A 23,696-nucleotide genomic window follows, 5' to 3' on the forward strand; every position below is an offset into this window, starting at 1 on the left:
TCCACCCACTCTGAGACGAGTGAGCTTTAAGTTGGAAGGTTGTTGTGAAGGACAAGGCAACGTCCGATTCACCTTGGGGCTTTTTCTAACGGAATCAGTTAGTAAGGGAAATACACGCTGCTGAGAGGCCCTGCCCTATCCCAATGTAAAGGACTATCACCGTCATCTCTTGTTCTGGCAAGCTAAAGGCTAATTATACCATATTTCCATGTTATAACGCATAATAGCCATGGGCTATAACCGATTATGGCATGCACAGCAGTCTGGAGTAAATGCTATATTGTTCCAAGCTATAATTCCAACCTGTAACAGCTGGAGACCTTGGCAGGAGCTAGCTCTGTGCCCAGCTATTTTCTACAGCACCATACAGGGCTTCAGAAGCAAACATCCTATCAGGTAGATGCCATGGCCAGCCCTTTATTACAGATAGGAAACAAGGCACAGAGATATTAAATAACTTTCCCAAAAGCATGCAGAGCCAAGATTGAACTTCAGGCAGGCCAGCTGCAGAGGCTTCCTGTTACCCTGAACTATACTGAGCTTGTAGACAAGTGTCCAGCAAGCCCCTGGTCAGCATGCTGAGGCTGGCTGCAGAGCCAAAGGTGTAAGTCAAGTAAGAGCTGCTGCTGGTTGGTGGGTGAAAGAGCTATGAAGAGTTCCCCATGGTGGCCTGACTCCACAGCTCAACCTGACACTCTTCAGATATGGCCCAGGGCAAGTGTTCACCACATGGGCCAGGCCTGTGGCCCTATCGGCAAAGCCATGCATTGCCATCCACCTTCTCACACCTGCAGGCTGTGGCACGCAGTACCAGCCAGCATGCCCCACTCAGCTCTGCATCATCCGTTGATATGTCTACCTTCCCATTAGAATGTCCCGCTCAAGGGCAGAGGCTATGTCTCATCCCCTCTGTATCCTCAGGCCTGGGACACAGCTGGCACAGAGGAGGAGGGCAGTGCTGCTTATTCAATAAATACACACAACATCAACTTCTTGGAAAGGCAGGACTGGCTGTTCTTGGGGCCAGGTCAGGGTAGGGAGTTGCTGGAACTGCCCCCAGATTTTAGGCTGGCTCTAGATCTCGGGTTGCGGGGTAAGCCTCACGGGATGACAGGACATTCCAGTGAGCCAATGAAAGATTCTGTGGAAACCTCCCTGCAGGTAACATGTGACAGTTGGACTTGTCCTTCGGAATTCTCTTATCTAGCTGTGCCGTTTTATGGATGAGGAGACTTAGTGAAGGAAGTAGACCCGCCCAAGATCTGGCAGCAGCTCAGTGTAGAGTGATGGCCAAGACCTATCTTGTGCCTCTGAGAAGGATCATTCTATTTCTTCAAAATGACTCACAGAGAAAGAAACAATCAACCCTTGTATTTACAGACAGTTAATTTTCAACAAGGGTGCCAAGACAATTCAATGGAAAAGGATAATCTTTTCAACAGTGGTGATGGGACAACTGGATATCCACATGAAAAAGAATGAGATTAGACTCTTACATCACACCGTATACTAAAATTAACTCCAAATAGATCAAAGACCTACACGTAAGAGCCAAAGCTACAAAACTCTGAAGAAGAAAACATACGCATCAATCTTCCTGACCTTGGAATACGCAATGGTTTCTTAGATGTGATAGCAAAGGCACAGCAACAAAATAAAAAAATAGATAAATTAGGCATCATCAAAATTAAAACTTTTGTACTTCAAAGGCAAAAATGTTAAAAAAAAAAAAAAAAGTGACACCATCAAGAAAGTGAAAAGATGTCCCACAGAATGGAACAAAATTTTTGCAAATCACATATCCGATAAGGGACTTACATCTAGAAAATCCAAAGAACTCTTAAAACTCAATAATAAACAGACAACCCAATTATAAAATAGGCAAATGATTTGAATAGACATTTCTTTAAATCATACCTACATCTAAGATGGCCAATGAGCACACTGAGAAGCCCAGAAAGCACAGAAAAGATTCTCAACATCACTAGCCATCAGGGAAATGCAAATTAAAACCAAAATGGGATACTAATTCACACCCATTAGAATAGCTATAATCAAAGGAAGATAATAACCAGTGTTGGTGAAGATGTAGGGAAGTTGGAACCCTTATATGCTGCTGGTAGAAACAGAAAATGGTGCAGTGACTTTGGAAAACAGCCTGGTAGTTCTTCAAATATTAAACATAGAGCTTCCATCAGATCCAGCAATTCTACTCTTACATATATACTCAAGAGAAATGAAAACATATGTCCACACAAAAACTTGTGCACAAATGTTCATGATAGCCAAAAAAAGTGGGAGCAACCCAAATGTCCATCAACTGATAAATGGATAAGGAAATCGTGGTCTATCCATACAATGGAATATTATTCACCTGTGAAAAAGAATGAAGTGCTGACATATGCCACAATATAGAGAAACCTTGGAAACGTTGTGCTAAATGAAAGAAGCCAGTCACAAAGGTCCCATGTATTGTATGATTTCATTGATGTGAAATGTGTAGAACAGGCAAATTTACAGAGGCAGAAAGTAGATTAGTGGTTTCCTAGGGCTAGGGAGGTGGGAGGGTTGGGAGTTGACTGTGAAGGAGTGCAGGGGTTCTGTTGGAGGTAGTAAGAATATTCTAAAAATGATTGTGGTGACGGCTGTACAGCTCTGTGAATATACTAAGAGGCATTGAGGGTAGGCGAGGTGGCTCATGCCTGTAATCCCTACACTTTGGGAGGCCGAGGTGGGAGGACTGCTTGAGGCCAGGAGTTTGAGACCACCCTGGCCAACACAGTAAGAACCTGGCTCTATTTTTTTTTAAAGCACTGAATTGTACACTTTAAATGGGTGAATTGTATATTATATGAATTATATCTCAATAAAGCTGTTTTTTAAAACATCAGCATCCCAAAACTAGGAGGGCCATTAAAACTGACCTAATCTAATCAACCATCTCTGCTTGAATTTCCTTAAAAATACACCCACCAAAGGCTGCCAAGATTCTTGAACACCTTCAGTGATGGGTGGCTCACTGCCTTCTTCAGGCAGCCTATTCTGTTGTTACATAGCTCAGGCTCAAAGGAAGTTTTTCCTTCCAGGAAGCTAAAACCTGTACCTTATAAATGGGGTGCCAATGTAAAGGAAGCTAAGAAGCTGCTTGAGACCTTTTTTTCCAAATGGAGAACAGTACGTTCCATTTACTGAGCAGGTATTAGGTGCTAGTCAATATGCCCCTCCCTCTCCAAGCATTTATTAATGCACTTGCTTTTTAAGACAACTTTAATGGTTGGTATAATCATCCCCGTATCAGAGATAAGGAAACTGAGGCTCAGAGAGGTGAGATAACTTGAGTATAAAATTTCAGAACTGGTTTTGCCCAGGAGGCAGAGCTGGAATTTGAACCTAGGTGTATTGAACTCCGGAGCTGCAGCTGTCCCAGCTGCTGAGCCAGACTGCTTCTGAGAGCCTGACACCATTTCAGCATCCCTATGGGTCTTATAGACCTTATATAAATGACATGAAATTTTTGAATCAAACAACAGAACAAACAGAAAAAAACTCTGCCTCCCAAAAGAGATGCTGAATGCAGCCCCATGGGATGGGCAAAATGCCTGCCTGGGAGAAGAGGGGTGGCCACCAGTGGCTGCATCGCTGTGGGAAGCCAGCCGCCACGGACAGCCTTAGAGGAAAATAAAGCTGAGTGATGCCCTCAGGGGCATACAAATAGCCTTGAGCGCCAGGGTTCTCAACCCAACAGCCCATCATTTGGTGTTTGGAATTCCGGTGAGGAATAAACTCCCCCTGTGAAAGCTACTCAATCCAATTCAATAGCATTTGTTGAGATAATTTTTTTTTAATTTTATACTTGAAAGGTAGGTCTTAATATTCATTCCTGTTTTATAGATGAGAATACTGAAGCTGAGCAGTTTCATGGCCTGCCCAAGATTCCAGAGATAGTAGCTGGGAGGCGAGAATTCAAATCTAACACCATTTAGCCAGGTGTGGTGGTGCCTGCCTGCAATCCCAGCTACTCAGGAGGCTGAGGTAGAAGGAGTTTGAAGCCAGCCTGGGCAACAAAGTGAGACCCCTGACTCTTAAAAAAAAGAAAAAAAAAAGACCATTTGACTTCCACATCCAGATGTGCCTGGCGCGGTGCCACTAGGGCCTATAGGTTTCAAGCTCGGGTTCTCCAGATCACAAGCTCTAAATGAGAGTGCTATGGGTGTTAAATGCAGAGGCACAGAGCCTAGAGAAAGGAGCAATGATTCTTATGAAGATTCCAGGAGAGGCTCATAGAGGAAGGGATACCCTGGCTGGGATGTGAAGGATGAGCAGGGTCTGAATAAGATGAGAAGTGGGAAAGGGCATAACGAGTGGATGGACTGGCGAGACCAAAAGCTGGGAGATGGGGAAGTGCAAGGCCAAGTTCAGGCTGCAGGATGGGTTTGGCAATTGTTAACAAAGAGAGACGGGAGGAGGCCATACTGGAGAGCAGGCTGAGGGGACTGAACAGCACAGGATTCCAAAGGGTTGTGTGGGTTTTACTCTGTGGGCAATAGGGAGCCAGTGAGGGTTTGTGAGCAAGAGAGTGGCACAGCCTACTCAGTGACAGGACCCACAAGCAGTCAGGGCAGCATCTGCTCAATGGTGTGAAAACCACACTGGACCAAGCAGGGCCCTTGCAACAGGGCACCTTAAGTCACATGCTAGGAAATGCCTTGTAAGGTGCCGTTTAACCCTAAGGCATCCTATTTATTGTAAACCTGCTCTTCAAAAAAAAGGCCATGGGTGCTGGGCGCCGTGGCTCATGCCTGTAATCCCAGCACTTTGGGAGGCTGAGGTGTGTGGATCGCCTGAGGTCAGGCGTTCGAGCCAGCCTGGCCAGCATGGTGAAACCCCGTCTCTACTAAAAATACAAAAATCAGTTGGGCGTGGTGGCAGGCACCTGTAATCCCAGCTATTCAGGAAGCTGAGGCAGGAGAATCGCTTGAACCTGGGAGGCGGAGGTTGCAGTGAGCCGAGATCATGCCATTGCACTCCAGCCTGGGCAACAGAGCGAGACTCAGTCTCAAAAAAAAAAAGAAAGAAAAGAAAAGAAAGAAAAAAAAGGCCATGGGTTCAGATAGAAGGGTCTTTTCTCAAGAACTGATTAAGCTTGCCAATGTCTAATGAACTGTGAGAGCAGCCTCCATTCCTTCCAAGAGTGTCTGTGCCCAGTCTGTCCTTACAGTCCTTTTCCCAGCAAAATGCCCAGCCGGGCCCACCTTGGACAATGCTGTTTGACAGTTAAGGAGTCTCCTGCCTGCTGCTACCCTGTCTCCTGCTCTGGGTTCATCTGCGACCCTATGATTGTCCTGGTAGGTGTCAAGGTTATCACTGGGTCTTGATCTTAGGGTGCCAAAGGAGACTCCTGTTGGTTGGGTAAAATGTTATCAAATGCTACTCACAATGGCAATAGTTCCCATGGGTGAGGCCTGCTGTGTGCCAGGCACTGGGCAGACACCATGAAGGCCCCCATCAACCTTCAAATCAGGGGTCATCGTGCTGCCTGACAGATGGGGAAACTGAAGCTGGCTCTCCTGCCCACGTCAGACAGTGACTGAGGCACCAAGTCAGAAGCAAGGCCAGGCCTGCATGGCTCCAGCACCTGTGCCAGGCTGTAAAATGTCGGCAGAATGAGGAAGTGAATCAGGAAGGCAAGGGAGGAGGGTTCCTTTTTGACTCAGAACAGGATTTCCCATCTCACACCCAACTGACTGAGAGACAGACGGGGTGGAGGGTGAGCCCCAGTGGCTCATGCTGGACTGTCCCCCGTGAACAGTCCTAAGCCTGGGACAAGCCCGAGGGGCCAGTGAGGCTTGGGGTTATGGCAGCTGGGCCTGCGAAGCCTTCCCCAGTGGGCCTCTCAAGAGTATGGCTTGAAATGAATCAGGCAGAGCACCTTGACAGGGCAGCGGCTCCAAAACCCAGGTCTCTCCCACCTCTCATTCCACTCAGAGGGGCCGGGAGAAGATGAAGGCCATGCCCTAAAAGGACCCTAAGTGGATGGGCAGAGAGTCAGGTTGTGGTCGTCTTGTCTTCTGATCAAGAACTATACCAGACCCAATTTCTCTCCTTTCCAAAGCTTGGGAGATGCTTAATTCACTTAATGACAAATCCTTCAAAGCCTATGCCAGACACTGTGGTCAGTGTTGAAGATCACAGAGATGAACCAAACAGATAAGAGCATCCTGCCCTGACAAAGCTCAATGTCTCTTTCTTCTTCTGCAAAGTGAGTGTTGCATTTGGAGGATTCTCAACACTGTGGACTCCCTCCCCTGATCCCTCCACTCCAGTCTCTCTAACATGGCATTTCTTAACATGGGACCTTCTGGAATCCACCCATTTATGAATGTCCTGTGGGAAGCCCTAGCTAAATTCACATTCCAAAATGTGTCTGTGAGCTGGGGATTTTAACCAGCCTCCTCTGACATCATTCCTGGGATCGGGGGTGGGACCTGGATGGGCCACGAGGGCTCCATGAAATCTTAGGAAGCTTGTTCTCCTGGTGAGAACGTCTGGAATTCCCTCCTCCTCCCCTAAGACCCCCTATCTCACAGAAGATAAGAATATGTTTGCCACAAGCAATCCACAGTGTCCATCATTACATTCTCATTGTAAACAGCTCAGAATATTCTATGGAGTGAAGGTCACAAACTTTCTTGAACCACTTCCTTTTTCTTGGACAGTTATATTGCATTTATGTTTTCTCCAGGCAACTCAAATATTTGCAAAGTTATCATTTATGTAGCAAGTGAGCAAGCTGTGGAGTCTTCCAGCCATGAAGCAGCACTCCTGCCGGGCTCAACTATCCACTCTCGTACTCTTACACCCAAATGGTATTTTTCTGATCCGGAGCCATTGTTTTCTTAGGGCTCTGCACTTGCTCTTTAGCATCAGCTGCTGGCCCTCTTTTCAGGGCCATTTTAAACAAAGAAATAAAATTTGTGGTCACTTGGCCCGAGCTGGAAGATTAGGGCCAATTCAAATCTGGATGGTGTGAGGCTCCAGGGCTGGGCTGAGGGGGCCTGGCAGGGCTCACTCCTGGTGAGTCACTGCCCCAGCCCCTGTCCCCCCACACAGGGATTCACAAAGGCCTGCTTTTCCTGGGACACTTCCTAACAGCTGCTAAGGATTCAAACCTGACTTTGCTGCCAAATAAGCTATGTGGTCTTAGCCCAGTATATTTAACTCCTCTGACTTTGCCTTCTCATCTGTAATATGGGGATGGTATTAGCATAAACTTCTCACTGCAGATCTGAAGACTAGGTGAGTTCATATTGGTAAAGTGCTTAGAACAATGCTGGCACACAGTAGGTGCTATATAACAAATAAATAATAAATTTGCAAATGTGACAGTTTTCCCGAGGGGAGAAAAAAAAAGATGCAATATAACAGTCCAGCAAGGAAAGTTTGTGACATCCACCCACTCTACAGCATAATCTGGCCATTTACAACGAGAAATTAACACCCTAGAATAATGCACGGTCTGCAGAGAAAAAGAGCAGACTGCAAAGCGCTGCACTCTAGAGCGAGGGTTGGCAGACTGTTTCTGGAGACGGTCAGAGAGCAAGGCTTTTAGGCTTTACAAGCCATATGGTCTCCGTCACATCTCCTCAAATCTGTCATGGTAGCATGAAAATAGCCACAGATAGCATGTAAATAAATGAGCATGACTGCGTTCCAACAAAACTTTATTTACAAAAACAGGTGGCATTTGACCAGCAGGCCACAGTTTGTCAACCCCTCCTGTGCAAATCATTCAAAAACTGTCAAAAAAAGATGAAGAATGAAGCCGGATGCAGTGCCACGTGCCTGTAATCCCCACAATTAGAGAGCCTTAGTCAGAAAGACCTCTTGAGCCCAGAATCCAAGGCTGCAGTGAGCTGTGACAGGAGCGCCACTGCACTCCCCTCCAGCCTGGGTGACAGGACAAGATCCCAACTCTTAAAAAAAAAAAAAAGGAAAAAAGTAGCATCATAGAGCAGTGAAATCATGTGTACATTTCTAAGATTTCAATTTCCTTAAAGTGGTATTAACAATTTTTTTTAAAAAAATTAGAGGCTTTTAAAGTTACATTTTAATCACAATTAAAAGATTTTTGTTTGTTTGTTTGTTTTGTTTTTTTGAGATGGAGTCTTGCTCTGTCACCCAGGCTGGAGTGTAGTGGCATAATCTTGGCTCACTACAACCTCCACCTACCGGGTTCAAGCGATTCTCCTGCCTCAGCCTCCCAAGTAGCTGGGATTCCATTCATTTCACCAGAAATCTGGGATTATAGGCATGCACCACCATAGCCAGCTAATTTTTGCATTTTTAATAAAGACAGGGTTTCACCATGTTGGCCAGGCTGGTCTCGAACTCCTGACCTCAGGTGATCCGCCTGCCTCAGCCGCCCAAAGTGATGGGATTACAGGCGTGAGCCACCGCTCTGGGCCTACAAATTCAAAGATTTCATAGTTCCACTAGACTTTCAGAAAAAGTTAAGAGTATTAAGTCCAGCATTCAAGTTACATGAGACAGAAAAGGTACAGACTTTGAAGTATGTATAGAATAGGACTGCATCTGTCTTCTCCATCTACTAGCTGTGTGACTCAGGCAAGTGTATTCACCTGTCTGTTCCCCAGATTCCTCATTTGTAAAATGAGGATGACAATGGCACCCATAAGCATGCAAAGAGCCTGGCACTGAGTGAGCCTGGTGCACCATAGGCCCTCAACACAAATAAGCCACCTCTCAGTCCCCCCCAGGCTGGATCCGGCTGGCCCTGGGTCTATGGCAGCAGGACAAGGCGGACTAGAAAGCCTGGCATGCTTTACTTTCCAGCTAAAAAAAATACCCTCCACAGTTTTCAGCTTTGGTTTACAAAAACAACACAGAACCATTCGAATCTCACTTTTAATTTAATAACTGGCACCCCAGCCTGAGAAACGGCAGGGTTCATTTCAAATGGGAGTTCTTGGCGGGAGTGAATCTCAGAGCTGTACTCACTGAACCCTTAAGGAGATCCATGGCCCTGCAGTGCCTGGGCCCTTGACTGGCAGAGCCAAATCCTTTCCTGGATCCAGAGGCTTAGGCACGAGGATGTTTCCATTCATTTCCCGGGAAACCTGCCAGTTTTGCAGGAGGCAGGGGGACCAGAGTCCTCTCTTGGCAGAAAGGAGCATCTAACGGCTCAGGGTCAAAGGCTTTTCTGAATGAACGCCTCCTGTGCCTCACAGCCTCCACCTGAGAAAGTCCAAGAAGTTTAACAGGACATTCAAAGTCCTTCTCCATCCATCTCTGCAGCCTCAGCCTCCCCTACTTCCCACCTCCTCTACTTGCAGTAGGAACCACCTGTGGCTCCCTGTATGCATCATTTCTCCCCTTTGCTCCTGCTGGTCCCTCTGCCCTTCTCTGCCTGGCTACATTCACCCATTGGCTTTGGCATCACCACCTCCAGAAAGCCTTCCAGGATTTTTCATAGTGTAGAGGACTGGGAACTAACATTACTAAGTACCCATGAGGTATTTGTACACATCAGCTCATTGAGTCCTCCCACCCACCGTTAAACCAGAATGACTGGCTTCTTTTTGTAGATAAAGAAGTTGAGGTTAGATTCAAAGTGGCTAAGTAACCTGCCAAAGGTCACACAGCAAGCAATCCTGCCCCTTTCTTCTCCCCAGCAGTCCCTTAGCAGAGCCCAGGCTGTTTTAAATTGTCCTCATTCTGCTGGGGCTGCAGGATGATGTCCACTGAGTTACCTAGAAGAATCCCCTGTATCACTAACTCTTGTCTTTTTTTTTTTTTTTTTTTTGAGATGGAGTTTAGCTCTTGTTGCCCAGGCTGGAGTGCAGTGGCACCATCTCAGCTCACTGCAACCTCCGCCTCCCATGTTCAAGCAATTCTCCTGCCTCAGCCTCCAGAATAGCTGGGACTACAGGCACCTGCCACCACACCCGACTAATTTTTTTATTTTTAGTAGAGACGGAGTTTCACCATGTTGGTCAGGCTGGTCTTGAACTCTTGACCTCAGGTGATCCACCCGCCTCGGCCTCCCAAAGTGCTGGGATTAAAGGCGTGAGCCACTGCGCCCGGCCTACCTCCTGTCTTATATCTGAGATATCCAGAGGACCCTTGAGACCTTCTCCCCAGAACCTTCACCTCCTTGGAGTCCAAGGTCGACTGTTAACAGGCTGTACAGGTTATAATTAGTACCTGCTTGTTCCTGCCAGAACTTTGAGACGCCAGGTTTACGACGTGCCTGTGAGAAGCCGGGCATCCAGCCTAGGAACTGCCTTTTGTCCCGCTGCTCTCTATGGATCCCAACCTGAAGGGGCTACCCTCAGGAGTGAGTGATACCTTGCAGACGCGTAGGTGTCCTCTTGAGTCCCCAGACCTCAGCACCAGCGGCCGCCCACAGCCAGGCAGCAGGGAGAAGCTGCCCTCTGGGACTTTGCTTTGGCCCAGCCGGACTCAGCGGGAGGAGGCTGCCTTCCTCCTGGAGCTGGCCTGTGTCCGGGGCTGAGCTCCCCATCAGACCCAGAGAACAATGCCCCACTGTTGTGTGCAGCACTTGGAAGCTGAGCAACCACCTTCATGATTCCCGCTGATCCTCTCCCTGACCACCCGTGGGACAGTGGCCAGCCATTTTAACATCTTTTCCCTCGCAGGACCCTGGGTTGTCCCCAGCAGCCCCATAGCAGAGTCACTGACCCTTCCTGCTGCAGCTACAGCTCCAAGGCCACCCACCCAACTGGAAGAAGCAAACGGTCAGCACACGAGCCCCATTCTTTGTACTCCCAGTGGGGGATCGGGGGCGGTGAAGCGGGAGGGACACACGCTTGCTTCCCACACCAGGCACAAAATCCCGTCTGACTTTCTAAAATATTTTCTCTCTCCTCTCAGACAATACTGGCTTTAATGAATTTCTCTAAAGGGACTGATGGTCCACACGCTTTGCATGAAAGGCAAATGCCACTGTGCCCAAGTTGACTACGCTACGACCCAGGGGACAATGCATGCCTTCTGCCTCCATAGAATGGGCACCACATGTGCTGGGCCTCAGCAATGTCCACTCTGTGGAGCTGGTGACTCCATCCCAGCCTGCAAGCTGCTGGCAGGGGCTCAGGTGACTCATCTTCTCCTTTGCATTTTCTTCAGAGCACACGCAACCTTCTGATATGTTCTTGTTTATTTATTTGCTTGCTTGTTGACTCTAGATCCTTCTAGAATGTGAGTTCCAACAGCACAAAGTCCTTACCAATCTTGTCCATGACTCCTACCTGACTGCCCAGGACCGTGCCTGTCATACGGGAGGCCTCGTAGAGGAGCTGGTGACTGAGGGAATGAACGGATCTTTGCTCCGTGTGTTCAGCTCTATTCATTCTCTCAAGGCACCTCCATGGGGCATCCAGGTGCCACGTGCAGCAGAGGAAACACTAAGCTGGAGACCTGCCCTCGAGGAGCTCACAGCGCATGCGGAAGAAAGATGCATCCACAAACAGGCCCGATTAGGGAGCTCAGTGAGGTTTGGTTCAGAGGGGACACAGCAGGGGCAGGAGAAACTCCACTCAAAGGGAGGGCTGGTCAGGAGCAGTCACAGAGGAGGAGACTCCTGAGCTGAAGGGACAGTGGAGGAGGTGGCCACAGGAGGGAAGGGCATGGGGGGAAGCAACAAGATGTGCAGCGCAGCAAAGCATGAAGTAGCATCTGAGTAGTTTGTCCCCAGCGGGGAAGAAATGAAGGTGGAGAGTCTCAAGCCTCATTCATTCATCCAACAGCATTTACAAAACACTCTGGCCTAGAGCAGGCAGGGGTTGGCCCCAAGCACAAGGAGGTTTTCTGTCTTCACAGACTCTTGCGGGGGCACACAGACCCTTGAAGGATAGCACAGGGGCTCTGGGAACACTGCGAAGGGGCAATCTAGTCTGAGGGTGCACTAAGGCTCAGGGGAGAGATGATTCCACCTTTACTCCTTCTACCAATGACTTGACCGCCCAGTGCCATGGTCAAAGTAGCATGACTTTGACCTAGGATGACCAATTTATCCTGATTTGACGCACACCATCCAGGTTTTAACCTTGAAAGTCCCAAACCCCAGGAAACCTCTTAGTCTTGGGCAAACCAGGGACAGTTGGTCACACCAACTTTCACCCTCATATCCCCTTCCAAGACTCCCAGACTGTCCCCCACTCTACTGACCCCCCACCCCCACCCCCACCTTCCAGCCACTCACAGGGGCTGGGTTCCCAGAGCCTGTGTCCTCAGAGCTAGCCAGAGTCACGAGCAGCCTTTCCTCTGGGATGGAGAGGGAGACTTGCTCTGGGTTATGGACGGGACAGCCGCCTACAGCCTGTGTGTCCTGCCTTTGAGGCCCCATCTTCCCCGGCTGGCTCCTAATCACAGCTGCCACAGGCTCTCAGATCCAGTCACTGTCTTCCTTATCTGAGCTTTATCTCCTGAAGCCTCCACAATCCAAGGACAGGCTTCCTCCCGGGCCTGTCTTTGTGCATTCAGGAGATCCACTGTGGGTGCCCCGCAAGCCCACGTGCCAAACTGAAGCAACAAGCAACTAATTACGACACCACCATCTCCATTTTGCAGAAGGAAAACCAGCACGTACAACCGGTCAGGAACTCACCTCTGGCATTCGTTTCACAAGGCCCTGAGGATTCCATTATTCCAAAGCAGCTACTCACAATCTTGACATCCAGAACCTTCTAGAGCCCTTTCCGCTAGCCCCGCAGAGACTCAGAAACCACAGGACTCAGAAAAACTTAAAGTCTTCCCCAGATGCTTGTTTCTAGGTTTCTAAAGTAGAGCTCCATGTCGAGCAGCGAGTTTCCACCAAAGACATTCACAGAAAACAGTCAGAGTGGTGCCACTCCAAGCTGCTGGAGGTCGGACTCCCAGCTTGGAGGCCCCCCAAACAATGCTGGTCTCCCCAAGAATCTAAGGCACGGGGATGAAGAGTTACAAGAGCCCTAGCTCTCATGGGAAAGGTGCTAATGATTAAATTAATCCCATTAGCAAGCCTCTAGAAAAGTGGATGTAATCTACCCTCAAGTCCCCTGCAAGGGCATCTCATGGAAAGGGCTGGGTTTTGCAGCTCACACTGTTTTCTAGTCCAACCATTTATTATTAGCCTGAGACCTTGGAAATGCTCCTTAACTTCTCTGGGCCTCACCTACCATGCAGGGTAAGCATTGCCATCCACCCCTTTGTATACCAGTCTCTAACTCTTTACAGACATGAGAGAGTAATAGTAAACCTTCACCAAGGGCATGCTATCTGCCAGGCATTGGGCTCAGTCTTACAAGGATTCTTTCACTGATGCCGTAGGTCCTACTGTTCCTGCCTATTTACAGATGAAAGAACTGAGGCTCAGAGAGGCTAAGTCACCTGCCCTAAGTCCCACAGCCAGTATATGACAAGTTTCCTCTGCTCTTAACCACTAGACCATTAATATTTGCTGAATGAGCAAACAAATTAACACTAGGTTCTATTTTAAACAGTAGACACGAGATTGAGACTTGTTTCAGAACTACCTTTTTTTTTTTTTTTTTTTTTTTTTTTGAGACAGGTCTCTCTTTGTTGCCCAGGCTGGAGCACAGTGGTGTGATCACAGTTCACTACAGCCTCGACCTTCTGGGCTCAAGTGATCCTCCTGCCTCCACCTATCGAGTAGCTGAGACCACAGGCATGGGCCGCCATGCTGGGCTAATTTTCATATATTTTTTGTAGAGATGGGTCTCACCATGTTGCCCATGCTGGTCTCAAATTCCTGGGCTCAAGCAATCCTCCTGCCTCAGCCTTCCAAAGTGCTGGGTTCCAGGTGTGAGCCACTGTGCCCGGCCAGACCTACGTTTTTAAGAACTGAAATGCTTAGAAGAGTGACTAGCTCAAACCTGCAAGACTCACCCTCCACTGCAGAGGCGGCTTCTAAACAGGAGGCTGCAAACCATGGCCCACTGCCTGTTTCTGTACAGCTGTTGAGCTAAGAATGTTTTTTAACATTTTTAAGTTGTTGGAAAAAATCAAAAGAATAATAATGTTTCATGGCATATGAAAATTATGTGAAATTCACATTCCAGTGTCTATAAAGTTTTATTGGAACACAACCAACACCCATTCATTTACATAGCATCTGTGGCTGCTTTCTCGATATGATGGAGAGCCAAAATATATTTACATATTTCCTTTCTGGCCTTTTACCACAAAAGTTTGTTCTAGAAGCTCCAGAGGCCAGTGCTATTTATCAGCCCAAGGGAATTACCTCACCCTACCCTCTGCCTATCAGCACAGCATTCCTCCTGGTCCATTATCCTAGAAAATTCTATACTAGTCCTTTCAGCAAACTGTGACACAATCTGGATAGCCAGCTTTACTGATGGGCAAAGGTTTCCAAATGCTAAGAATCGTGTCTCCATCAAGGCTTTCCCTCTGGCATTTATCCTACTTACAGTCATTTAGGGGGCCTTTGCCACTAAGCTGAGTTCCCCCCACACTGTCACAGTTGTTCTGCTGAAACCATCTCCCCACATCCTCCAAGCACTATCTGAATCATTGCTGGACTGGGTCCCACCTTCCCAGGGCCTCACGGTGTGAATTACTACATCAGTTAAAAGACAATAGGAGGCCGGGCACAGTGGTTCATGGCTGTAATGCCAGCACTTTGAGAGGCCAAGGAGGGAGGATCACTTGAGCCCAGGAGTTCGAGATCAGCCTGAACAACATAGCAAGACTCCACCTCTATCTAAAAAAAAAGAAAAAAGAAAAAAGAAAAAAGACAATAGGAGCCTCACACAATCACTCACAAAAGAAAGGCTCACCGGCCAACTCTCCAGTAATAACAGGTAGGGGCCAATGGACACAAGTGGAAAAAGCTGGCTAGGGCCAGGCAGGGCCTGTTTATATCACATTCTGTTCCTGTTTCCCTTCTGGGGAGCTTAAGACCTGGGGGAAGGGACCCTATTCGATCTACGAAGTCCAGGCCTGGGAAGCAGCAGTGCTGGGTCCTGCCTTGGGACTCCGGGCAACTCCCTTCCCGCCATGGCTTGGTTCGCCCAAGCACAAGTGAAGGAGCCGGGCTCCTGTGGGCACCGGGGTCCTAACGTTGCATTCGCTGAGTTTACGCGGCAGCGCTGAACCCCGGGAAATGGCCCTGATTGCTGGACAGGTTGCTTCTCAGGCTGACCCTATGGTCTGGGGAAGGTGGAGCAAGAGGGCAAATGCATTGAAACAGAGATAATCTAGCTGCACTGTCCCTGGAGAGCTCTGAGTAAAGCCACACCGGGAAACCCTGCTATGCATACAGCCACTCTCAAGCCTGCTTACCCCACTCTCTGCCAGGCCAGGTGGCTAGTGCCAACAGTCCTGGGTTAGCGATCTCATTGGGCAGCCCTCAGATCTGTCAGAATATTGGGCCTTAGAGGTCATCTAGTTCCGCTTCTTCACAGTGTGGCCATTTGTGCATTACGGTCATGATTTTGACTATATCTGCCATGCAGACACATCTACATCTTTTCTAATTAATATTCTTTAATTTGACCCATTTAAACTTGTTTATTTTAAAAGAAGTTTTTTTTTTCTTTTTACCTTTTTCTTTTTTTTCTTATAGCTAGATTAAGAAATATATTTTTACCTTAAATAAAAAAACAGGGTCAGGATCAATTGCCATATATCATAAGATAATGAACATAAACAATGTTTAACTCTATCTGGATAATGGTGCTGGTTTACACCTGGGGCCTGCTCATGGTTAGAGACAGAGAGAGGCTAGTGTTGGAGAGCTGTTAAAAACAGATTAGCATGTCACTGAGATGTTCACCTAGACAAGATCCAGAGGTTCTCAACCATCCCTGTGCATCAGGATCACCTGGGGAGCTTTAAAAAGCTACAGATAAGCAGCCCCACATCTAGAGATCTCTCTAACTCATTGGTCCAGGGTGGAGCCCAGGTGGTTATGAGAAGGCCATATAATCAGAAGGATTAAAAGAACAAGTTAAAAAAATTTAAAAAAAATGGAGGGGAGATAAAGAGATGAAGAAGGAGTGGCTGTCATTCAGTGCCCTGGGCTTGTACCACCAAATTTATCCTGGCAATTACTAGTAGCCCCTAATCCAAATTCACCAAGATCTAATCTAGTCTAAGCCCCTCCACTGTATTGAGGAGGATCCTGAGGCTCAGGGTTGGGAATGAAACAGCAGGACCTGCTGTGGTGATATTGACTATTTTCTGCATAGTTAATTCCATAAAAGAAAAAAATCACATTGGCCAGTTGCAGATGGCTGGTGCTCCGGGCAGGCAATGAATGGTCAAGGTGTGTGGTCTGCACCCTGTATACCTCTAAAGGAGGACACTGTCTGTGCACACGGGCGCAGGCTTGGCTGGGTCGACTCTGGCCCATCATGCCTTCCTAGACCTGCCAGGGCATGAGCATCGGCCAGCAACACCTGAGCCAAGGGCTGACCCACCAGCAGCTGCGCCCTGTTCAACTCACTGCACGTGCTGGGGACAGAGGCAGGCAGAAGTGCTGAGCTCCCTTCCAAGTGACCTGCATAAATGGCAAAGTCACGTCCTCAGCTAAGGAGCACCCAAGGAAAAGAGGGAGAACTTGGAGAGGCTGGGAAGGGAATCCATTGGAACGGGCGTGACCCAGCACCTTCTGCTTGCTGGGAATCCCACATCTGTTATCTCATATGAGCCTCACAGTGACTCTGCAGGGAAGGTGTGGCCAGCCCCATCTTACAGGTGTGATACCCAGGCCCATGGAGGTTATGTGACTTGCCACAGGCGACAAAATCAGGGTCCCAGCTCAGATCTGCAGGATTCCACCTGAGGTCCAGGAGCACAGAGAAACTCCATCAAAGTCGAAAGTCAAACTTCCATTGCACAGATGGCACCAGTGACGCCTTGCTCTGCTGGCTAAACTAACAATAGTGATGACCCCTTACCTCCATGGGGTGGTCCGCAGTTCACAACACATCCAGCGAGGCGAGGAGCGCGGCACCTGCACCCCCACCTTACAGCAAAGAGAGTTGAGGCCCAGAAAGACTGTGCCTCTGGGCAAAATTTAAGGGTCCTTCCTGGTGCCCCGCCCAGCCCCCTGAGCTTCCCTATCATGGAGTCACAGTCCCCTAGGATGGGACTGTTTAAAGCACACACCTCACCCACTGGACTCCTCCCACTGGGCAGCGCTGTGTCTCTGGCATCTTCCTAGTTCGTGTCCACCTCAGCCAATGTCAGTACGTTGAAGAAATGCCATTGCCCAAGGCACTGGTTACAAAGCGGAAGAGCCCAGATCCCAGCCGCAAACACGTGCTTCTTTGGCTCCCAAACCAAAGTTGGCTCCAGCTAAGTGCTGCATGACTAACCCTGCAGCTTCCTGCAGGAGACCCAGATAGGAACTTACGGGGCTATCCTCTTATCTGCTCAAAGGAGCACATTAGGAAGTGAAGACTGCGGCCAGGAGAGCCTGGCCTGGATCCCCCTCCCTGGGCATTTGGGTGTTTTTACCCAGATGGAGGTGGGACAAGAGACGCCACAAGATGAAATTTTTTTAAAAATTAATTTTCTAAAATTATGCCTGAGCAAACTTGAGTTTGAAATCAGCAAACAGATACATAGGCAAATCACAGAAGCCAGGCCTGCTCGCTGCCTGGTGCTGGATAAATGACAGAAATTAACCTGGCAACCCCAACTGGCTCACACCCAACCCTACAGCCACTGGCTTGTGGTCACCAAGTTCTCAACAGCTAGTGAACAAGTGGCGGAGGGGTTTCCCTAGGAGAAAAGGATGTGGTCAGAGAAGACAGGGTAGGGTGCTCCGGGGTGGGCCCTGGCTCTGGAAAACCTTTGGTGTTCCTAGCCCATGTGACACTGGTCCCACAGAAAGGATTTCCTTTGAGGAATGGCCTGGCAGTGTGAGAGCCACTGGGGGCTGTGGAGAAAGAGCCAGATGTCTGGTTAGGAGGCTGAGTGACTCACCACTTCCAGCCCACAGCACTCCTGGCATGGAAAGGCCAGTGTAGCCTGGGAGTTACCTGCCAGAACTCTGGGATCAGGTAACCTGGGTTCAATTTCCAACTCCACTGCTAACTGAGGTAGCTGAGGGTGGGTTACTTAACCTCTCTGCCAAATGGTAACAACATCAGAGCATCCTTCATTGGGCTGTTGTGAGGATAAAGACAAAAAAGGCAGAGAGCACTTAGACATTCAGTAAGCACTGAACAGGTATGAGCTGTAAAGATGAACCATGCAGGAATCTTAGATGGCACCCAATGGACTCCATCGGCCCATTCACTCGTTCATTCATTCATTCTAGAAATATGGACAGTATTGAGCAGCTTTGATGGCTGGGCTCTGGACAGATAACAATCCCTGGCCTTATCTTCTTCTGGTACAGAAGACAGACAATACACTCAACTGCAAATAATTAACACAAATAATTTCAGGGTGACAGGACAGAGCATGTTGGCAGGATGGGATAAGTGCCACTGCGTGGGCAGGAGGGTCCCTCTGAGGCCGTGACTGTGAGCTGAGATCTCAATGCAGAGACGGTGTGGCCGGGGGAGGCACTTTTTAGGAAAAGGAAAGAACAAGAAGCCAAGCTAGAGGGAGAGAAACTTGGCATGAGCAGGAGAGAGAACATCAGATGTGAGTCCCAGGGACGCCAAGAGATATTTGCAAGGTTCCGGGGCCAACCCCCAGAGAACCCAGGAGAATGGAGAATCTCCAAGAGGACAGTCCCCTGAAGGGGGCCGCAGAGGGAGATGACACATATTGCACCTTCTCTCCCCAGCCTCAGGTTACGGCTCCAGAGCTCACTTTTTTCCTGTGTCCTGGAAATATTAGGATCTGTCCTTCATACTACATTCAAGTGAGCTGTAAACACCCCTAAAGTTAATAAGATCCTATTTTAAAGCCTTTTAATTTAATAATAGTAGTAATAATAGCGTGCTCTCTCTGGGCTGGGAGCAGGGATGTGAGGATAATCCTGTCTCCAGCCCTCAAGGCGGGCACAGGCTAGTGGGGAATCACTCTTGAAACTGTTGATTAGTATCAATGGCAAAGTGCAACGGGAACAGGGAAACAGAGATCACCAACCCTGTAGGAGGTGACTGAGGAGGACTTCCAGGAGGAGGTGATGTCTACCCAGGTGTTGGTGGGAAGGGGCAGGGAGAAGGAGAGCTGAGTGGGGGAGCAGCTTGAGCACAGGTGTCCAGGTGAGAAAGGCCACGATGAGCTAGGGGCTTTATGGTCCTTGGAGGTGGCCCAGGTTGTAGAAAGCTGGGCCAGCTGGGAACGTGGGACCTAATCCTCAGAGCAAGGCGGATAAGCAGGGAGTCACCTACCAGTGATCTGGACCCTCCTGGGCTGAGGGGGTGAACTATAGTGGCCAGACCCAAGTCCCCAAACACCTACTTTGAGGCTGTGGTCCTTGAATGAGAAAACATCTGAACTTCAAGGTACCTTAGAAATCTCCTAATCTCAACCTCCCTCTTTAAAGAGCAGGAAACAGAGACTAGCCCAGGTGAAGGTCAAATGCAGGCTCCTCCCGTCCTTAAGGAACGAGGCTACCCCAGTGCGTCAGCCAGCTGCATTATTTCAGCAAATGTCACTTGGGAGGGGCTCAGCCCTTTTCAGATCTCAAATAAAACTGTTGGCTTAAATTAGAATCCAACCAGCCATGGTGGCCCACCCTGTTCTGTCCATGCCTTGGTGATCACCACACAGGCTGAACGCTGAAAGCCTGCCATTTCATTTTCATCAAGCAACCAGCCCGAGTTGCGTTACACCATGAATATCAGTGAAACAAACTCTTAGGGAAGGTGGTTGTAAGGTAAGAGCACTGGTCAGGGAGTTAGGAGATACCATCTTGGCCCTGAAGTACCTGCAAGACTTGAGCCAGCCATTTCTGCTGTGGAGACTCAGTTTCCCCATATGTAAAAGTATAAGCGTAAATCATCTCTGAGGCTCAGGCTGGCTCCACTGCAGCTGTGACTCCTAAATACTTCTCCAGCGCCCACACACAATCTCTCTGGGCATGTACATGAGCGTTTGTTTCCTAGTCTCTGAAAGCTGCCTTACCCATGTAAAGTTCTCTCTTATTAGGTCCTTACTAAGCCCTGCCCCATGGGGAGGTATCACCAACCCTGTTAGATGGGAAACAAATGGATTCACAGTGCAGCAACTGACCAGGAAATGGATTCACAGAGCAGAGGGTAGAGAGCAAGGGCTGAGACCTGGGCCCAGGTCTCCACTGCCCAGGGGAGCATCCATACTGGGACACAGCAACCGTGCATTAGGAAAACCACCATCTGAAGCCAAGCAGTCCTGGAACACAGGTCTCTTTGAGCCCTGTTGTCTGTGACAGGCACTTCTGCAGAGGGAAGGCAGGAAGAATATCTTTGATGAGAGAAGAAGATGGCCAAGAATCAAAATGTGCAGCACTTGGTCGGGTTTGGTGGCTCATGCCTGTAATCCTAGCCGAGGCCGGTGGATCGCCTGAGGTTGGGAGTTGAGACCAAGCTGGCTAGCATGGTGAAACCCCATCTCTACTAAAAATACAAAAACTAGCTGGGCGTGGTGGCAGGTGCCTGTAGTCCCAGCTACTCAGGAAGCTGAGGCAGGAGAATTGCTTGAACCCGGGAGGCGGAGGTGGCAGTGAGCCGAGATTGCACCATTGCACTCCAGCCTGGGCAACAGAGTGAGACTCCGTCTCAAAAAAAAAAAAGTGCAGGACCAAAATGGGATGGATTCTCCCAACTCCCGATGCACCACTGCCCATGCCACAAAGGCAGTGGGCTTCCTTGCAGGAGAGCAGCAAGACAGAGGTAGAGCTTTAGCCTCTAGATCATCTCTGTGATCTGACAGCTGGAAAGCCATCACCCAACTGTCCTCCACCAGGGCATTTCCCCATGGCCCGCCCAGGCTGGGCTGGGCTGCGGAATTTCAGCATCTAAGGAGTGAAGAATGTGCTCATAGCACAATGCACTGAAAACAAAAGTGGCTCATCCTTTCCACTCCCGCTCTGGATGAAAGTCCTGCTCCATCTTCACCTGCTGCGTGATTTGGGTCAAGGCACTGAACCTCTCTGAACCTGCTTCCCCCACTGGAAAATGGAAATAACCATAACTGCAGCACTCAATTGTTTTGGGAATCAAGTACGCCTGCAAAAAATAGGATGAGTGAGAGGAGCTCTTTCCTAAGAGGACTTCCTGTAGGAAAGAAGATTCTAAGCACTGCTTCTGTGTTTTCTTTGAGGATGTTTCTGTTCATGTAAGTTCTAGAAATGTGTGGTTCCATCGTAAAATGTAACTCTCTTCTGACTTTTTAAAAATAAAATGATCCTGGGCCAGGCGCGGTGACTCACGCCTGTAATCCCAGCATTTTGGGAGACCGAGGTGGGTGGATCACGAGGTCAGGAGATTGAGACCATCCTGGCCAACAAGGTGAAACCCTGTCTCTACTAAAAATACAAAAAAATAATAATAATAAAATTAGCTGGGCATGGTGGCATGCAACTGTAGTCCCAGCTACTCAGGAGGCTGGGGCAGGAGAACTGCTTGAACCCGGGAGGCAGAGGTTACGGTGAGCTGAGATCACACCACTGCACTCCAGCCTGGGAGACAGAGCAAGACTCCTTCTCAAAAAATAAATAAATAAATAAATTAAATAAAATAAATAAAATGATCCTATCAGTTTAATCTCAGGTATACTTCCCGTCTCTCTCCCTGAGTGCCCTAAGGAGGAGCCTTGTGACCCAAGACTCTCACTGGTCTGTCTGTCGGGTGGTGTCTGCATGAGAGTCACACAGCTGTGGCAGCCTGGAGAGAAGTGTATTCCCTACGTGTGTGACCTCGGCCAGGACACTTCGTTTTGTTATAAAACCAGTAGATTGGTCCAGGTGACCTGAGGTTCCTTCCAGCTCAAATATTTCAGGATTTTATGATTCAGAAGCATAAATCATTAGGCCAGGACCTTTAAAAATCCTGTTGATCATCTGAGGTCATAGAGTGTTATTATTATCTTACTTGTTGTATGATTTGGGAAGACAGAGATCATGTCTCCTACATTAAAGATCGTGTCTCCTACATAAAGATTTATGACACATAAAATCATGTGTCATACAACAGAATTTTTTGCTTTATTTTTTAAATCCAGCCAGATTAACATTGGAATCTGAGGAGAGAGGCAGATTTTCTAAGAAAGCATCTGAAAATGCTCCACATGATCTTTTAATTTCATTTGTATTATGTAAGATTATATATATATAATGGAATATATGCGCCTCCTATTTGTAAATAATGAAGCATAAAAATATTTAAAAATAACGCCCTTAGCCAGGCATGGTGGCACATGCCTGTAATCCCAGCTACTCAGGAGGCTGAGGCAGAACAATGGCTTGAACCTGGGAGGTGGAGGTTGCTGTGAGCTGAGATTGTGCCACTGCACTCCAGCCTGGGCAACAGAGTGAGACTCTGTCTCAAAAAAATAAATAAATAGGCTGGGCACGGTGGCTCATGCCTGTAATCCTAGCACTTTGGGAGGCTGAGGTGGGCAGATCACGAGGTCAGGAGATCAAGACCATCCTGGCTAACACGATGAAACCCCGTCTCTACTAAAAAAAAAAATACAAAAAATTAGCCGGACGTGGTGGTGGGCGCCTGTAGTCCCAGCTACTCGGGAGGCTGAGGCAGGAGAATGGCGTAAACCCGGCAGGTGGAGCTTGCAGTGATCCGAGATCAGGCCACTGCACTCCAGCCTGGGTGACAGAGCAAGACTCTGTCTCAAAAAATAAATAAATACATACATAAAATAAATAAAAAATAACACTCACAAGCCTACCACTGGACTGAAGAAACAGAACATAATGGATCCCACTGAGAGTGAAACAGACATCTCCCTGATCAATTACCCACTTCTCCCCAAAGATAATCACCTTGATTTTGCATTATCATTCCCTTGCCTTTTTCTTTTTTAAACCAGCTTAACTTTGTGAAATAGAATCTACGTATAAAGGCATGTATAAAACATACATGTAATTAGCCAGTAACTACAAAGTGATCTCCTTTGTAACTGCCCCCCCGACTCTCCTGATCCTCTCTCACCTTTCCTCAGCACGCGTGGTAATGCTTGGCTTTTATTTAAGCTAATCACCTTCTTGCTTTTTGTCGTCATTTTACTTCTCAGCTATGTGTCACTAAACAACTCATTGCTTAGTTTGGTTGTGTTTTGAGCTTTTATAATTGCCTTAGCAGTTCTCCATGGAGATGCTAGGATTCTCTATACCACGTCTGCAGCCTAGAAACCCAGGCGAGAGATCCAGGCTGCACTCTGGTGTTACAATGATAGTAGAGGGTTAGTAATAATAAAAACCATCAGTCCTATTTATGGTGTGCCCGCACCATGCCGGGCATTCTGCTAAAGCATCATCCCCAGTTACCTCAATTATCTTCGCAGCAACCCCAAAAGGGAAGTATTTCAAGAGGTCAAAATTAGGGCATCAGCTTCCCAAACTTGTCCCCCGTCCACTTCCTAGCTTCCTAGCTGCTCAGCCCCAGAACATCATCCCTAAGTCCTAAAGCAAAGGTTCCTTTCAGGATGGGAGGGTCAGGAAACACTGCTGCTCCTGGGTTCCTATCTTTGTGGTCCAGTCAGGCTGCTTAGATTATATATATATA

General features: G+C 48.1%; 1 protein-coding gene across 6 annotated transcripts in view, besides 8 other annotated features; it reads right to left on the reverse strand.

Moving 5' to 3' along the window:
• Positions 1-23,696, reverse strand: part of SYNE3 (spectrin repeat containing nuclear envelope family member 3) — a 109,385-nt gene that overhangs the window by 82,788 nt on the left and 2,901 nt on the right. Inside the window, exon 1 of one of the 6 annotated variants that reach the window (NM_001384282.1) lies at positions 10,369-10,487. The exons of the other annotated variants lie outside the window; for them this stretch is intronic. The gene's annotated coding sequence lies outside the window, so the exon portion shown is untranslated. Of the gene's footprint in view, positions 1-10,368; positions 10,488-23,696 lie in introns of those variants that run through there. 6 annotated transcript variants of the gene reach the window in all.
• Positions 5,183-5,684: an enhancer, noted in NCBI's record as "H3K4me1 hESC enhancer chr14:95961573-95962074 (GRCh37/hg19 assembly coordinates)". NCBI's record gives its function as "activates a minimal SCP1, AML or CMV promoter by ChIP-STARR-seq in naive and primed H9 embryonic stem cells {active_cell/tissue: H9 hESC(naive and primed)}" and the evidence as "EXISTENCE:reporter gene assay evidence [ECO:0000049][PMID:30033119]".
• Positions 5,573-5,672: an enhancer, noted in NCBI's record as "active region_8961". NCBI's record gives its function as "activates an Ori minimal core promoter by ATAC-STARR-seq in GM12878 lymphoblastoid cells {active_cell/tissue: GM12878}" and the evidence as "EXISTENCE:reporter gene assay evidence [ECO:0000049][PMID:35858748]".
• Positions 9,918-10,498: an enhancer, noted in NCBI's record as "H3K4me1 hESC enhancer chr14:95966308-95966888 (GRCh37/hg19 assembly coordinates)". NCBI's record gives its function as "activates a minimal SCP1, AML or CMV promoter by ChIP-STARR-seq in naive H9 embryonic stem cells {active_cell/tissue: H9 hESC(naive)}" and the evidence as "EXISTENCE:reporter gene assay evidence [ECO:0000049][PMID:30033119]".
• Positions 9,918-11,078: a biological region, named in NCBI's record as "H3K4me1 hESC enhancers GRCh37_chr14:95966308-95966888 and GRCh37_chr14:95966889-95967468".
• Positions 10,339-10,633: a silencer, noted in NCBI's record as "tiled region #2313; K562 Repressive non-DNase unmatched - State 7:EnhWF". NCBI's record gives its function as "represses a minimal TATA promoter and a strong SV40 promoter by Sharpr-MPRA in K562 cells {active_cell/tissue: K562}" and the evidence as "EXISTENCE:reporter gene assay evidence [ECO:0000049][PMID:27701403]".
• Positions 10,499-11,078: an enhancer, noted in NCBI's record as "H3K4me1 hESC enhancer chr14:95966889-95967468 (GRCh37/hg19 assembly coordinates)". NCBI's record gives its function as "activates a minimal SCP1, AML or CMV promoter by ChIP-STARR-seq in naive H9 embryonic stem cells {active_cell/tissue: H9 hESC(naive)}" and the evidence as "EXISTENCE:reporter gene assay evidence [ECO:0000049][PMID:30033119]".
• Positions 13,447-13,496: a silencer, noted in NCBI's record as "silent region_6046". NCBI's record gives its function as "represses an Ori minimal core promoter by ATAC-STARR-seq in GM12878 lymphoblastoid cells {active_cell/tissue: GM12878}" and the evidence as "EXISTENCE:reporter gene assay evidence [ECO:0000049][PMID:35858748]".
• Positions 13,947-13,996: an enhancer, noted in NCBI's record as "active region_8962". NCBI's record gives its function as "activates an Ori minimal core promoter by ATAC-STARR-seq in GM12878 lymphoblastoid cells {active_cell/tissue: GM12878}" and the evidence as "EXISTENCE:reporter gene assay evidence [ECO:0000049][PMID:35858748]".

This window comes from Homo sapiens, chromosome 14 (assembly GCF_000001405.40).
Source record: "Homo sapiens chromosome 14, GRCh38.p14 Primary Assembly".
In the NCBI taxonomy this organism is placed as follows: Eukaryota; Metazoa; Chordata; class Mammalia; order Primates; family Hominidae; genus Homo; species Homo sapiens.